Consider the following 16035-nt stretch of genomic DNA (forward strand, 5'->3'; position numbering starts at 1 on the left):
GATGGGAAGGGCTGCCACAAAGGTCTCTAACATGCCCTGGAGACATATTTCCCATTGTCTTGGCAATTTACATTTTGTTCCTCATTACTTATGCAAATTTCTGCAGTTGGCTTGAATTTCTCTCCAGAAAATGGGTCTTTCTTTTCTATCACATCATCAGGTGATCATTTTCCATAGTTTTATGCTCTGCTTCTCTTTTAAACATAAGTTCAAATTTCATATCATCTCTCTCAAGTTCATAGTTACACAGATCTCTAGGGCAGGGGCAAAATGGTGCCAGTCTCTTTGCTAAAGCATAACAAGAGTGACCTTTGCTCCAATTCCCAACTAGGTCCTCATCTTCATCTGAGACCACCTCAGCCTGGAGTTCATTGTTTCATATGACTATCCATATCATATTTTGTTCAAAACTATTCAACACATCTCTAGGAAGTTCCAAACTTCCCCACATCTTATCTTCTTCTGCTCCCTCCAAACTGTTCCAACATCTGCCTTTTACCCAGTTCCAAAATTGCTTCCACATTTTTGTGTATCTTTATAGTATCCCACTCCTGGTGCCAATTTCCTGTATTAATTCATTCTCAGACTGTTATACAGAAATACCTGAGACTGGCTAATTTATAAAGAAAAGAGATTTAATTGACTCACAGTTCCACATGGTTGGGGAGGTCTCAGGGAACTTACAATCATGGGGGAAGGAAGCAAGCACATCTTACATGGCAGCAGGCAAGAAAGAGTGCAAGAGAGAGAAGTAAAATCACCTTAGAAAATCATCAGTTCTCATGAAAACTGACGCACTATCATGAGAACAGCATGGGGGTCACCATGCCCATGATCTAATCACCTCCTACCCTGTCTCTCCCTTAATACCTGGGATTACAATTCAAGATGAGATTTTGGTGGTGACACAAAACCTAACCATATCAACAAGCAACCTAACTACAAATGGACCAAAGTACCAAGCAGTCACGTTGCCAAAAAAGATATAAGAATGTTCAATAAGCTCATGAAAATTTGCACCTTATTATCCATTAGAGATATGTAAATTAAAACTATAATGCAGTACTGCTGCATACTCATTATAATGGCTAAAATTAAACAGACTGACAATAACAAATTTTAATAAGGGTACTGAGGAAAAGAAACTTCTGTTTTGCATTACTGGGAATGCAAAATGGCACAGCCACATTGAAACAGTTTAGATATTCCTTATTAATAAGGTAAATACATACTTACTTCATCACATAGCAGCCCCATTATTAGGTACTTACCTTAGACAAATGAAAACATTGATTCACATAAATAATATGAATGTTCTTAATGACTTTATTCATCATAGCTCCTGAAAACAGCCCAAATGCCCATCAACTGTTGAACGGATACATGTATTATGGTATATCTACATATATCTACATATCTATATCATTAAGAATTACTCAGAAATAAGACGTAATTACTGATGGTCACAACAACATGAATGAAACTCAAAAATTTTATGCTAAATTGAAGAAACCAGATACAACAGACTATGTCATTTGAGCCCACATGGAAAATTCTAGGAAAGGCAAAAATCATAGTGACAGGAAGCAACATGTGGTTGCTAAGAGTACAGGACTGGGAAGGATTTCGACTTAAAAGTATATGTGGGAACACTTTTAGGTAAGGGAAAGGTTTTGTTTCATGATTTTGATGATAGTTAACACAGCTACACATATTTATTATAACATGTCAAATTAGTGATTGTGTTTGATTAAAATCATACCTCGATAAAGCCAATTTTAAAAAATCAACAAAAGTAGTAAATTCTGGAGGAGAATATAAATTTGGCCAGGGACTTACTAAATTAGACATACTTAAATTAATTTTTTTAAGATTAATTATTTTAATTAATCACCTTTTAATATTTCTTTTTAATTTTCTATACCTAAACTGATCATTACTCTAAAGGACATAAAATATGGTTTCATATATCAGTTGGTTTAGAGATAATTTTACATGGAGGATGGATTCTTACCGTTTTTCATTTATGAAAATGTTGCAGAATTTCATTTTGGTGACGTAAAACCAGAAGAGGCAGGTTTCAGGCAAGATCCTCCATACTATCTCACAGGCCAGACCACAGGCCATTACAAAACTTGGTCTGGCAGGCCTCACTGAAGAATGCTGCCTTCACCACACCAGATATGGTGCACAGCCAGTGCATAGCAGTCTCTAAAGAGAGCTGCAGTCAAAGACCCCACCTATCATCCCTGCTAGCCCTGCTCTTAAGCATATACGTCTGCATATGTGGCCTGGGCACCTCCATTCCAAGGTCTACTGTTTGTGGCCCCCACAGTTGAGGCCTTTCTCAGGTGCCTCTGCTGAGAACTCTTTGTCTGATATCCATGAATACCATTTTCACTTCTCAGTATTTGTCTGCTTTTGGCTTTTTCCCCTGACCTTATTCTTAGCCTTTGGGTAGAGAAAACATGAGGAGTCTTTTGTTCAGGGTGAGATGACTCTTCCAACTCCACTGTCTGTGTTGAAGTAAAACCTTTACCTGATGCCATTTCCTGGGGAGAATAGAACATTAGGGGAGCTGGTACCTTCTTTCTGGCTTCTTGGGTACACGATTGAAATAAGTGAATAGAGCCTTGAACTGTTATTTTCAGTTTGGCTTAAGGCCCTAATTGACTGCCTCAACACTTGGCAGCTCTCAGCTCTTGATAAAACATAATTTAATATAAATAAAAGATAAAGAAATACTATCAAAAACGTATGCAGACAGACAAACATTAAGGATCTGTAAACCAAATGGTTGAATTTGGTAACAATTCTATAGCTATTTTTTTCTTCACACAAATTTCCATTGTACCTCTAATGGTGTCATGGTAATTGGATGGAAGTCATAGCCATTTGCACACTTTCTTAAGTATATTCTTCAATGACTGGAATTGTCTAGAATCTAAAGAAATTATACAATAGAACATGTTTTTTTAAGTAAATAGAAAAAATACTATTATAAAAAGTAAATGTGCATAAATTAGACGGCCCCTCCTCAAAACCATGATTCCTTAATGTTTGTAAAAAAGTGTGTATATATTTTTATTAGTATTTTTACAAATACTGATCCAAGGTTTTCGAAATATTTGTCGCAAATGAGTTCAAAGTTTATTATAGCCCTTATTTAATAATATCAAATTAAAAGCAGTTGGCAGATAGGCATTTTTACTACCCGTTTTAATAGACAACTTAGGCAATTTAAAAGGAAAACATTATAATTAATTTTAAAAACACTTTGACTCTACCAGAAATATGTGAATAAGTATCAAAAGAAAGCTATTAGAATGATTCCTTTTCACTGAAAGGCTACAAAAATTCCTACTGATATTTAAACAGCTACTGGATGGTCAGCAATTTTCTCAAATTGCCAAATATTATTACAAGTGATCCATACTGTGACAACTCCTTTGTATTGAGAAGATCTTTAGGGAAACCAAAAAAATTGAGTGCAGATTTATGCAGATTTCTTCTTCTCCAGTCATGTAATTGCTTAGGAAAAAAAAGCTGTAATACCACATTCAGTAGTTAAATATCCAATAAAATTAGTCCATGGAGCTACGTTGTAAGGTATGGTATTATACATTTCCATATAGGCCACCTCTCAAGTGTTCAGGATTATTTTAATTTCTCTCAGAACCATTATGAAAAAAGTATAAGAAAATAGTTGAAAATTTGAGATGAAAATTATGCAAGTCTCTTCAATATGACAGTTCCATGTTACTTTTAATGGATTTGTTGTTCCCTAGCTACTTTACTTCTAGCAATAATTTGGATATTTATTTTCTAATTAAATTTTGACTTTAGAAATGACTTATACACATTTAATGTAATAATAAAGCTCTTTACAGTTTTGAAAATATTCAAAATTTTTCCCTTCATTGGAAGATTTTTCAATTAACACCTAGAGCAAAATTTTAAGAATTATATAATTAGAAAAATTCTGATTACTTCAGGAAATAATGATGTCAAATTGTTCAAGTCGTTACAAGTTATATTTATTAAAGTTCATGGATAAAAATGTTGTTTTGAATTCAGATTGCTTAATATGGCCTGTAGAATTTGATGTATGGGTGTATTACATAAACTTATGCTTGAAATGATTTTTCTAAGTGTCAATCTTGCCTGACAGCTCCAAGAAAGCTGAAGAAATTAAGAAGCAACATGATATTCCTTAATAAATAAATCCATAAGACAACACCAAGCAACCAGAATGAGAAAGGATGCAGATAAGAGCAAAGACATGGGGGTCGTGCATGGGAGGCAGCATGGGTGGCATGCATGGGTGGCACCCATGGGTCATGCATGGGTGGCAGCATGGTCTTGTCTTCTATTTTGATTTAGATACTTTGAGAGTAGTCTTGATTCCCCATTTCTTAAGTATGAATAGTTATGCTTATGTAATAAAGGTCTAATTGTAATTAACCTTACAATTTAAGCCTTAGAATGTGGTAAATTAAGGAAGACTCTTCATTTATACTTTGCATGCTTTAAAAAATCATGTACATATATTTTGTAAACTTTGTTTATGTCAAACTCTCTTAAACACAAATTATTTCATGGTCTTTATACCAACACTATGTAAAGGAGAAGACTTTGACTCAATAGCAACAGCAAAACTTAAAAAGAAAACCTGAAGGCTTGTGTCTAGCGGTTTTATCGTTTTCATCTTATGCATCCAACTCAATAGCAAAAGACATAGAGGTTCTGTGTTTCTTTGCTTATATTATTATACATATATATAAAATATGTAATTATTGTATATATAAATATGTAAAACCCCACAAAAATCCTTTCACATCCTTCACCCATGTGATAAACCTCTGAGAGGTTTATCACTGGACATTCTTTAGTAATTCTAATTAGTAATTCTAATGAGAAATTGCCAAGTAACAGCCTCTCCAACAATGAACTACATCAATGAACTCTGTTTCTAAGCAGGTTATGTGAACCTCTTCCTTTTCACAAATAAAAGCTTCTCTTTACCCTTCCCTCACCAAATGCACTGGTAGCTTACCATTCTGTGCATTTTGGATTGTAATTCTCATTTCTCATTTCTCATTTCCTAGTAAACGCAACATATTTTGGGAAAATTTTCTTTAGTGACTTTTTAGGTTGACACTGGTTACTCTATTTAGAACCTCAAAAAAATTTCTAGGCACCAAACAAATGAAATGAGGAAAAGAAAGGGCTCTTTATCTGTCAAGTCTATTAATCCCATTACTTAATTCCCATAATAAGAACATTAACAGTGATAACCATTATTAAGTATCTTCAAATTTAGTAAGCACATCAATATGAATATTTCCATTGTAGAATATTTTTTATCTATGTACTTTTTCTCTAATTCCAATTTTAAATTTGTCATGTAGGGCATCTGTGATTGAATTTATTTATTAAATGAATGTCTTTATCTTCTTTTAAATTTTATTCTAGATAAAATTTAAAGTATAAAATTACTTTAACCACATTTTACACAAAATTTTTAGGGTCATTATAGGAACTTATCAGTTTCTATAGACTTAGCAGTTTCTATAGAAGTTTCTACAGAAACTTACCAGTTTCTGTAGAAGTTTCTACAGAAACTTAGCAGTTTCTATAATGACCCTAAAATTTTCTGTAAAATGTGATTAAAGTAATTTTTTTTATCTCAAGTCAATTCTTTGGATTCACATGGACAACAAAGATGCTTCTTTCTGCATTAATAAACCTATGTAATGCATATTAAGTAGTGTTTACCTAAGTAGATTTTAAGCCTAAATCTCAACATCATTACATAAAGTCTCAAAGGCTCTTAAATATAACACTATCAAAGCTCCTTGACTGCTTCGTTGTTAAGAAGATAATACTTCACCTCAAACACTTTTCTTGAGTTTTATTTACATATTTTATAAGAGAAAAAGACAGGAAAGAAGGATAAGGCTAGCTGAATCTCAGTGGAGATTCCCAAAGTGCCCTTGGTTTTCCTGACAGCCTCAAGTGAGGTTCAAATCTATTTAGTGTGCTAAACTAATGCAAAAAATGAACAGCATTAACATTCTAGCTCTGGGTTAGAAGCTCATAGGAAAGCAGAGATTTATCAAAAGTGATAGACATGTGTCTCTGCCAAACTGGATAGTAAAATTGGATAATAACTCAGTTAGCGAAACAATATTTAACGTGGTATGCTTAGTAGTTTCTTGAGTATAAACTACCGAAGGATCTTTAGAAATCAGACTTTCATTTTGACAAGAGTGTATTGCCTCAACACCTACTGTCTTGCTAGTCATCAAAATAAGGAATTTAGTAGCAGTGTTTAAATCTGTATCTAGTATTCAACACTCACTAAGAATTCACCCAGACAATATGTAGAAAATGGCCTCTAATATTCCCAATTGTTTGATAGCTTTAGCGATAAATTAAAATGAAATCTGATTTAAATAAGTATTAATTAAACAACTTGAAATGCTCTATGTTTACATTCTGATATGACTTGCACATCACTTTTCTAAAGGTCTTTTTCCAAATTTTATACACCTGAAAAGATAGTCTTATAGTTACAGCGATGAACATTTCCAGTAAAGATTGTTTCAATATTAAAGCTGTCAGGGAAACATAAGGGCAATCAGGGACCTTGATTAATTAATGCTTGCAACTGGGATCAAATTGTATAGGTCAGCTTCTCCAAATATTTCAGGGTTGATAAGAACTTAGGACTACTAATAAATGAAGAGTGAGTGACATCAAATTAATGATGACTTTAAAGCTGCTGGGGTATTGAACCCATCAGTTGAATGTATTCTTAAGAAAAACAGCGAAGAGGAATCTATGCAATTAGAAGTGGTATGCTTGCAATAAAACCAACTACTGACACAAACAGGCATAGGATATTTTATTGGAACTTAGGCACCTTTTTAAATGAATTATAAGAACTGCTATTTAAAAAATAGAGAAAATCAGTATGGCAAGACTACAAAAAACATATTTTAAATATTTTAGTAATCCTCTTTGTAGTTCTAAGTATTAGAAAAGCATCAGACATCATTTGGAAACAAAATAGACATGAAGCAAAAGGAAATATTTAATACCAACTTGATTCAAGAGAACATTGGACTAAATTAAAGTTGTTAGACTTAAGAATTAAGTTTGAATCTGAACGCTATGATATTGTTTACAAGTTATTTCAAGATCTGATGAAATGTTCCCAAACCAGTCACATCTCTCTTACCATCATCCCCCCTTTAATAGCCCCATATACACTGTGCTCCAGAAAGTCTAATCATTTGGTTCCCCAAACTAGCTTATATTGCCTGATAATTTCCCCCCTTTATTTTTCTTTCATTTAACTAAATCATATGAAATTTTGGTTCTTAGTTTAGATGACAGTCTGAGGATATTTCTCTGAATTTCTCTTCTGGCTAAGAATATTTCTGTGTGCTTCCTTACCACTATGTATGTTTCATTGTTGTCCTTATCATTTTGCCTGAGCTGTCTATCTCACTAGATACTTAGAGGAATAAAACCTGTCTCTTTTGTGTACCATTTCATCTCAGCATCCAGCAGAGTTCTTAGTAAACATTTACTGAGTATATGAATGGACTGAAGAGACTATTAAGCTTCTTTGTTTGGAATGTTAACAAACTACATTTAGGAAGTAATACTAGAATAGCTCATAGGAGCCTTACCTGAACTCCTATTTCTCAATATCTGCTGCAGAGCAGTTTCATAGGTCAACACCCATGGGCCACCGATATAAAAATCACCAGAGACATTGGTAAAATATCTAAGTCCTTGGATTCCTCCAAATAACTTCTGAGGTAGAATGTCTGGAAATAGAATTAGGAAATTTCTAAACACACAAAAAAAGGAGCTCTGCTGAGGAGAAAGCATGGCAAAAATGAGTTTTTATTGACTGATGCATACAGAATTTCCTCTATACCATCATTACACAAAACTGTAGGGTTAAAAATTCTTAAATTATAGACCCATAGCAGAATTTTCTACACAGAAAAAATATGTAAATGTAAATATTTTATATATAATATGTAAGTATTATATAAAGATATTTAATAAATTTACCATCAAATTTCATTAAGCTGCATAAAGTAATATTTCAAAAAGCAACAGAAACAAAGTATAGAGTAAGCAGATAGATACACTAATCCTTATGGATACTCACTGCATTGCCAGACATGATTTATCTACTTCTATATCAATCTGAAAGTTAGTAGAATGAAATATTCTACTAGTGTGCTAGTAAAAAAAAAGATGAGCTTATATTTGCTTCAGATCAATTGTTGAAGGACACTATGATGAGACGTTACTGGGTGTGAAACAAGATCAAGATCAAGTCTAAGGTCCAGGCTTGACATGTGTAACAGTGCTTTTGTTATTGGTGAGGGAGGAAGACTTACCCAGCCTCACCCCCGTCCTCACTTAAAAACACTTAAAAATAAAAATTTTCATCTCCTTAACTTATAAGACTGTCTTTTCAGGTGGATAAAATTTGCAAAGAAACCTTTCGAAAAGTGATGTGCAACCCATATCAGAATGTAAACAGAGCATTTCAAGTTGCTTAATTAATACTTCTTTAAATCAAATTTTATTTTAATTTATGGCTAAAACTATCAAACAATTGAGAATAGTAGAGGCCATTCCTGCATGCCATCTGGATGAATTCTTAGTGGGTTTTGAATACTAGATCTAGATTTAAACGCTGCTACTAAATTCCTTATTTTCATGAGTAGCTTTTCGGTTTTTCTTCAAATAACACCTATTAAACTGTTTCATATAAAAGCAATTCTTAGGGATTGTTTTACAACTCTTAATTGCTAACCTGAGCAAGTTATGTGAGAAAGAAAATAGCTAGTAAATATTGTTACAATTGTGACACCAGTGCACCCTAATTTGCCTGTAAGTCTGATTTATTCCTAATCCCTAATATAATTATTAATTGCACCTCTTTTTATTCTTATCAGTGTCCCAGTTTAAATAATGAATTGTATGACAACCAAATTTTAAATAGCATTGGTAAGTGGCATGAGTCCTGTAAGAGTTTTTAGAAAGAAAATACTACCTTTCATTAGTAAAGTTTTTGGATTGTATTAAATTGTTGGAAAAAGACATTATATTACTAAGATACTGATAGAAATTATTTTTAAACAAATATCTCTGAGTAGATCAAGATATCTGGAAAAACTCACAAAAACAAGTAACAAAAAATGTATACTATCCTATGTCTGAAAACTCTTCATATTATCCCACTCAAAACCATTCAACATGCCCTTTCTCAACTCCCTTTCTCACTTTCTGCAGTTGTGCAAATAGTATCTGGAGCAGTGTACAGACTATTAGATTAGGTAGCAAATTTCAAACTTGTGCCAGTGTTGGAATGAAATTACTTTTCACCTCAGGTTTTAATACTAAGAACAATTTAATACTGGGAGACAGAAAACAAAATAAAGAAAAATAACTCCAAGTAATGAGAGAAATTTCCAGGTAACACTCAGTCTAGTTACTTTTTTTCCAGCTGAGGCCAGGGAGAAATATAAAGTCTCTCTCATGGTAACCTAAGAAGATAGTTTAGGGAAACCATTTGCTGATATTTTGAAAATTACACTTCCAGCTTCTGGTAACGTTCAAATACAGTCACTTCTCAAGCATTTGTACAGATATTTTGCTTGGGAGGCAACTGCAATAATCCCCTCTAAAGTTAGAATCTAGTCTCTGCCAAGGAAAGTTTGAGATTTAAAAGGTTCATTTGAAATACATTTATGTTTGCTAAATAACACAATACGAGTAACTTATTTTAAATGTTAACTTTATATAAATATTGAAAATTACTCATCTATCAATGCTGTAGCAATATGCTTTGGCTTAATAACAGTAAAACACCCATTATCTGGTTTATCCAATTTGAAAAGTGTACTACTTTAAATTTTTCTGTTTCAATACTTTTGCTAGGCAAGGCCTATACTAAAACAGAACGCTGACTAATACCTATCCATTAGCAATTTTCTTATATGTATACAGTCCTACACAGCATAGTGACATTTCATTCAATGACAGATGGTATATAGGATGGTGGTTACATAAGATTATGACGAATCTGAAATGTTCCTTTCACCTAGTGATGCCATAGCTCTCCTAACAACATAACCCAACACATTACCCAGCTGTTTCTGGCGATGCTGGTGTAAGAAAACCTACTGTGCTGTGAGTCATATAAACCTATAGCACATCCAGTTATGTAGAGTTCATAATACTTGATAAAAAAGACTATGTTACTAGTTTATGTACTTACTATGCTATGCTTTTATCATTATTTTATAGTGTACTCCTTCTATTTAATTTTTAAAAAGTTAAATGTAGGACAGCCTTAGGAAGGTCATTCACAGAATATTTCAGAAGAAAGCATTGTTATCATAGAAGATGACAGCTCTATGCCTGTTACTGCCGTTGAAGACCTTCCAGTGGTACAAGATATGGAAGTGGAAGACAGTAATATTGGTGATACTGACCCCGTTTATGCCTAGGCTAATGTGTGTGTTTATGTCTTAGTTTTTTACAAAAAAAGTTTACTAAGTAAAGAAATAAATATATAAAAAAATTAAAAAGCTTACAGAAAAGGATATACAAAATGAAAATATTTTTGTATAGCTGTATAATGTGTTTGCAGTGTTTGTTTGTTTGTTTGTTTAGAGACAGGGTATTTCTCTGTCACCCAGGCAGCTGGGTTGCAGTGGTGTGATCATAGTTCACTGTACCTGGAACTTCTGGAATCAAGAGATTCTCCTACCTCAGCCTCCCAAGTACTAGAACCACAGGTGTGCACTACCACATCCAGCTAATTTTTAATTTTTTGTAGAGATGAAGTCTCACTGTGTTGCCCAAGCTGTGCATTTGTGTTTTAAGCTAAGTATTATTACAAGAGTCAAAAAGTTTAAAAAATTTTAGAGCATAGAAAGTAAAAAGGTTACAGTAAGCCAAGCTTAATTTATTATTGAAGAAAAAATATTTTCAATAAATTTAGTGTAGCCTAAGTTAATATTGTTTATAAAGTCTACCTTAGCATACAGCAATGCACGAGGCCTTCACATTCACTCACCACTCATTCACTGATTCACCCAGAGTAAGTTCCAGTTCTGTAAGTTCCATTTATGGTAAGTGCCCTAAACAGATATAACTTTTTTTTAATTTTTATACAGTATTTTTACTGTTCATTTTCTATGTTTAGGTATGTTTTGATATACAAATACTTACCACTGTGTTACAGTTATCTACAGTATTCAGTCCTTTAACATTCTGTCTACGTTCATATTCTTAAAGCAATCTTCTATACCATATTGCCTAGGTGTGTAGTAGGCTATAACATCTAGCTTTGAGTGAATATGCTTTCTGATATTCACACAATGATGAAATCGCTTGATGCATTTCTCAGAACAAATTGCCATGATTAAGTCATGTATGACTATTCGTGTAGCTAATACAGACATACCTTGTTTGATCACACTTTGCTTAATGATATTTCACAGATATTGCATTTTTTACAAATTGAAGATTTGTGACAACCCTGCATTGGGAAAGTCTATCAGCACTGTTTTCCAACAGCATGTGCTCCCTTTGAATCTCTGTGTCACATTTTGGTAATTCTCAAAATATTTTAAACTTTCATTATTATTATTATCTGTTATGGTAATATCTGATCAATAATCTTTGCAATTATTATTGGAATTGTTTTTGGGTACCATGAACCACACCCATTTAGGATGGCGAACCTGCTCAATAAATATATGCGTTCTGATTCCTCCACTGGCTGGCCATTTCCCCATTTCTCTCACTCATCTCATTTAGCCTCTCTACTTTCTGAGACACAACAATATTGAAATTAGGCCAATTAATAATCCTACAGTGGCCTCTTGCCTCTAAGTGTTCAAGTAATAGAAGAGTCATATGTCTCTCATTTTAAATAAAAAGTTAGAAATGATGAAGCTTGGTAAGAAAAGTATGCCTAAAGCTGAGGTAGTCCAAAAGCTAGGACTCTCGTGTCAACAGTTAGCTAAATTGTGAATGAAAAGGGAAAGTTCTTGAAGGAAATTGAAAGTGCAACTCCAGTGAACACAGGAACTAAAAGAAGGTGAAACAACCTTATTGCTGATATGGAGAACATTTTAGTTGTCTGGATATATCAAACCAACAACAACAGTCCCTTAAGCCAAAGCCTAATCCAGAAAAAGATTTTAACTCTCTTCCATTCTATGAAAGCTGAGAGAAGTGAGGAGGCTGCAGAGGAAAAGTTGGACGCTAGCAGATGTTGGTTCACGAGGTTTAAGGAAAGAAGTCATCTGACAACTTAAAAGTTCTGCCTGAAATAATAATGCTAATGTAGAAGTTACACCAAGTTATACAGAAAATCTAGCTAAGAAAATGAAGGTGGCCACAACAGATTTTCAATGTAGACAAAACAGCCTTATATTACAAAAAGATATCATCTAGGACTTTCATATCTCAGGAGAAGTCAATGCTTGGCTCCAAAGCTTCAAAGGACAGCCTAACTCTCTTGTTGGGGGCTAATGCAGCTGGTGACTTTAAGGTGAAGCCAATGCTTATTTTCCCTTCCAAAAATCCTAGGACCCTTATAATTATACTAAATTTATTCTGCCTGTGCTCTATAAATAGAGCAACAAAGCCTAGATAACAGCACATTTGTTTACAGCACGGTTTACTGAATATTTTAAGCCCATTGTTGAGGCTTACTACTCAGAATAAAAAATTCCTTTCAAAATATTACCAACATTGACAACGTACCAGGTCACCCAAGAACTCTGATGAATATGTATAAAGAGATTAATGTTTTCATGCCTGCTAACACCAGACCTATTCTGCAGCCCATGAATCAATGAGTATTTTTGACTTTCAAGTCTTATTATTTAAAAAATATATTTAATAAGACTATAGCTGGCACTGACAGCAATTTTTCTTATGGGTCTGGGCAAAGTAAAGTGAAAGCTTCCTGGAAAGAATTTATCAATCTAGATGCCATTCAGAACATTCATGATGCATGAGATGAAGGCAAAATATGAACCTTAACAGGAGTTTGGAAGAAGTTGATTCTCACTCTCATAGAAGACTTTGACTTCAAAACTTCAGTGGAGAAAATAGCTGCAGGTATGGTAGAAATAGCAAGAAAAATAGAATTAGAAGTGGAGCCTAAAGATATGACTAACTTGCTGCAATCCCAGGATAAAACTTGAAAGAAAGTTTTTCTTATTGATGTGCAAAGAGGGTCATTTTTTGACATGGAAACGACTCCTGGTGAAGATGCTGTGAACAATGTTGAAATGGCAACAAAATATTCAAAATACATCATAAACATGGTTAATAAATCAGCAGCATTTAGAGAGGATTGATCCCACTTCTACCATGTGTAAAATGCTATCAAACAGCATCGCTTTCTACAGAAAAATCTATTATAAAAGGAAGAGTTAATTTATGTGGCTAACTTCATTGTTGTTTCACTTTGAAAAACTGCCACAAGCTACCTCAACCTTCAGCAACCACCAATCTGATCAGTCAGCAATCAAGATCAAGGTAACACTCTCCACCAGCAAAAAGGTTATCACTCATTGAAGGCTCAGATGATGGTTAACCTTTGTCCAGCAATAAAATATTTTAATTCAAGTATGTACATTTTTCTTTTATACATAATGCTATTGCACACTTATGAGGCTACAGTATGGTGCAAGTAAAACTTTTATATGCACTGGGAAACAAAAAAATTATAATTGACTTTGTTGAAATATTTGCTTTATTGTGTCTGGAACTGAACCTACAATATCTTTGATGTATTCCTGTGTCTATTAAGTCATTTGATGTGTCTGACATTTTTCTAACTTCTTTATAGGTCCTATCTTATTTAATCCTGACATACACTAAGAAGTTAGCATTATTATATTTCCGATTTTAAAGACAAATAAACTGAAGCATAAAGAGATTGAATTGTCCCAGAGCAGTCAAGCTATGTTAAAGCTAGAATTTTGACACTGTAGATTATACACCAACCGCTGTATTATGTTGCTCTTTGCTGATGTTTCCTTAACAAATGGTCATTCTGTTTGTACTTTCCACTGATTATTCCACTCCTTGAATAGATTCATTCTTGCATTTTGTACTCCAAGAATTATAAATTAGTTAATGGTGCTTACATTAGGAATGGGATGTGGATGATTACTTATGTTTTATTAGCACTCCAGTAAAAAAAAAAAAAAAGAATTTGTATTCTTTACAAATACAAGAAATTGCTAATGAATCATTATCTGCTGTACCCTACTTTCATTCTATCAGTATAAACTTCCTGAGTTTTTCTTTCAAAGAGCACAAATCCTGGCTATAAAGAAGACATATGGGACATATCTACTTGTTATATTATAGAGAGGAGCATCAGATATTATCTTAAGAAAAACTACCTCTAACAGGGACTCCAAACCCAACTAATGAATAGAACCCAGAACAAAATGGCCATTGTGTTCCTGGTTGTAGGCTAATAAATCTCAACTGGTATTTTAGCTTCAGTGACCAGGAAATAATAGGGAATGGTGGAAAGTGTGGCAAATCAGAGAATATATGTCTTGTCTAAAGGGTCAAGCATGATGAAACACAGGAACAATGGTTTGATTGCTTCTAAAGGGACATCCAATATCCAGGTTATTATGTGCAATATGATTTGTAATTGTAGGTAATAGGTACAGTTTAAAAACACTTGCAAGCCAAAAATAAAACAAATAAACCAAAAACAGTCTGTGGTCCATATTCAGTATATACTCTCAGTTTAACCTCTGGTCTGTCACATATACTACACATGGAGAAGGACTGAAATAATTGCAGTTGCTATTATACATGGCTCTTTTTCTTCCCCTTGTCATATACCCTTGAAGAAATGTATAAGATGAAAGGCTAATATTTACTAAACAAACATATCATGAATACTTGCTCAAATGTTTCTGAGATTAGGCAAGTTACTGGGGATTAAAACTATTATATGTATTTTATATAATCTTAGTAGAAAAATACTAATGCAATCAAATAATTACAATTCTGCATGCATAGTTTGTGTAGTACTTTTTAGAGTACTAAGGGAACAGAAATGAAGAAGTGACTATGTCTGGCTGATTACCAGCAGGTGATATTTTGGGTCTTGATTAAATCAGTGGGAGTTTGTAAGACAGATGAAATTATTGGCTAAGTAAATTAACGTACAGTGATATGGTTTAAAGTGCCTGAAATCTTCAAACCAAGCCATTTGGTTTTCAATGATATTGTGGAGCAATCAGAGAGAAATGCCCACAGATAACACTAAATAATATTAGCACCAAACCTACCTTTGAAAATCTTAATTACATTTTTTTTTTTTTTTTTGAGACAGGGCATTGCCCTGTCACCCAGGCTAGAGTGCAGTGGCCAGACCTCAGCTCACGGCCACCTCTCTTGTAGGTTCAAGCAATTCTCCCACCTCAGCCTCCCAAGAAGCTGGGATTACAAGAGTGTGCGATCACACCCAACTAATTTTTGTATTTTTAGTAGAGACAGGTTTTTGCCGTCTCCTGGCCTCAAGTGATCTACCCGGCCCAACCTCCCAAAGTGTTGGGATTATAAGGGTGAGACACCACGCCCCACACCAGGCACTAATTTTTCTTAAACCATGTTGACATAAGCACCAATTTCTCTTGCCATTTAACTTGGGTAATTACCATAAACTCTTAGAAAGCTTATCATGATAACATTTAGGAAATGATTACTGAAATCTGATGTCCAGAAATAATCTTATTCATATATTATAGTTCAAAAACCAATCAGTACAGAAATGTCTTTAGTTGCTGAAGAGCTGCAACATCTACTTACATAATTCTAGTGAAAGAAATCTGTCTGCTTCTGTAGAATTCAGTTTGATTAGACAACTCTAATTTCCAGAAAGCTTCTTATAGCATTTAGTTTAAGCCTGCCCTCATGAAAGCACTGTTT

The 16035-nt window shown here is 33.8% G+C and overlaps 1 long non-coding RNA gene across 1 annotated transcript in view; it reads right to left on the reverse strand.

Annotated features, from left to right (window-relative positions):
* LINC02232 (long intergenic non-protein coding RNA 2232) overlaps window positions 1-16035 on the reverse strand; it is a 90220-nt gene that overhangs the window by 55505 nt on the left and 18680 nt on the right. Inside the window, exon 2 of the long non-coding RNA NR_033976.1 lies at window positions 7704-7844. This is a non-coding gene — a long non-coding RNA (long intergenic non-protein coding RNA 2232). The remainder of the gene's footprint in view (window positions 1-7703; window positions 7845-16035) is intronic.

This window comes from Homo sapiens, chromosome 4 (assembly GCF_000001405.40).
Source record: "Homo sapiens chromosome 4, GRCh38.p14 Primary Assembly".
In the NCBI taxonomy this organism is placed as follows: domain Eukaryota; kingdom Metazoa; phylum Chordata; class Mammalia; order Primates; family Hominidae; genus Homo; species Homo sapiens.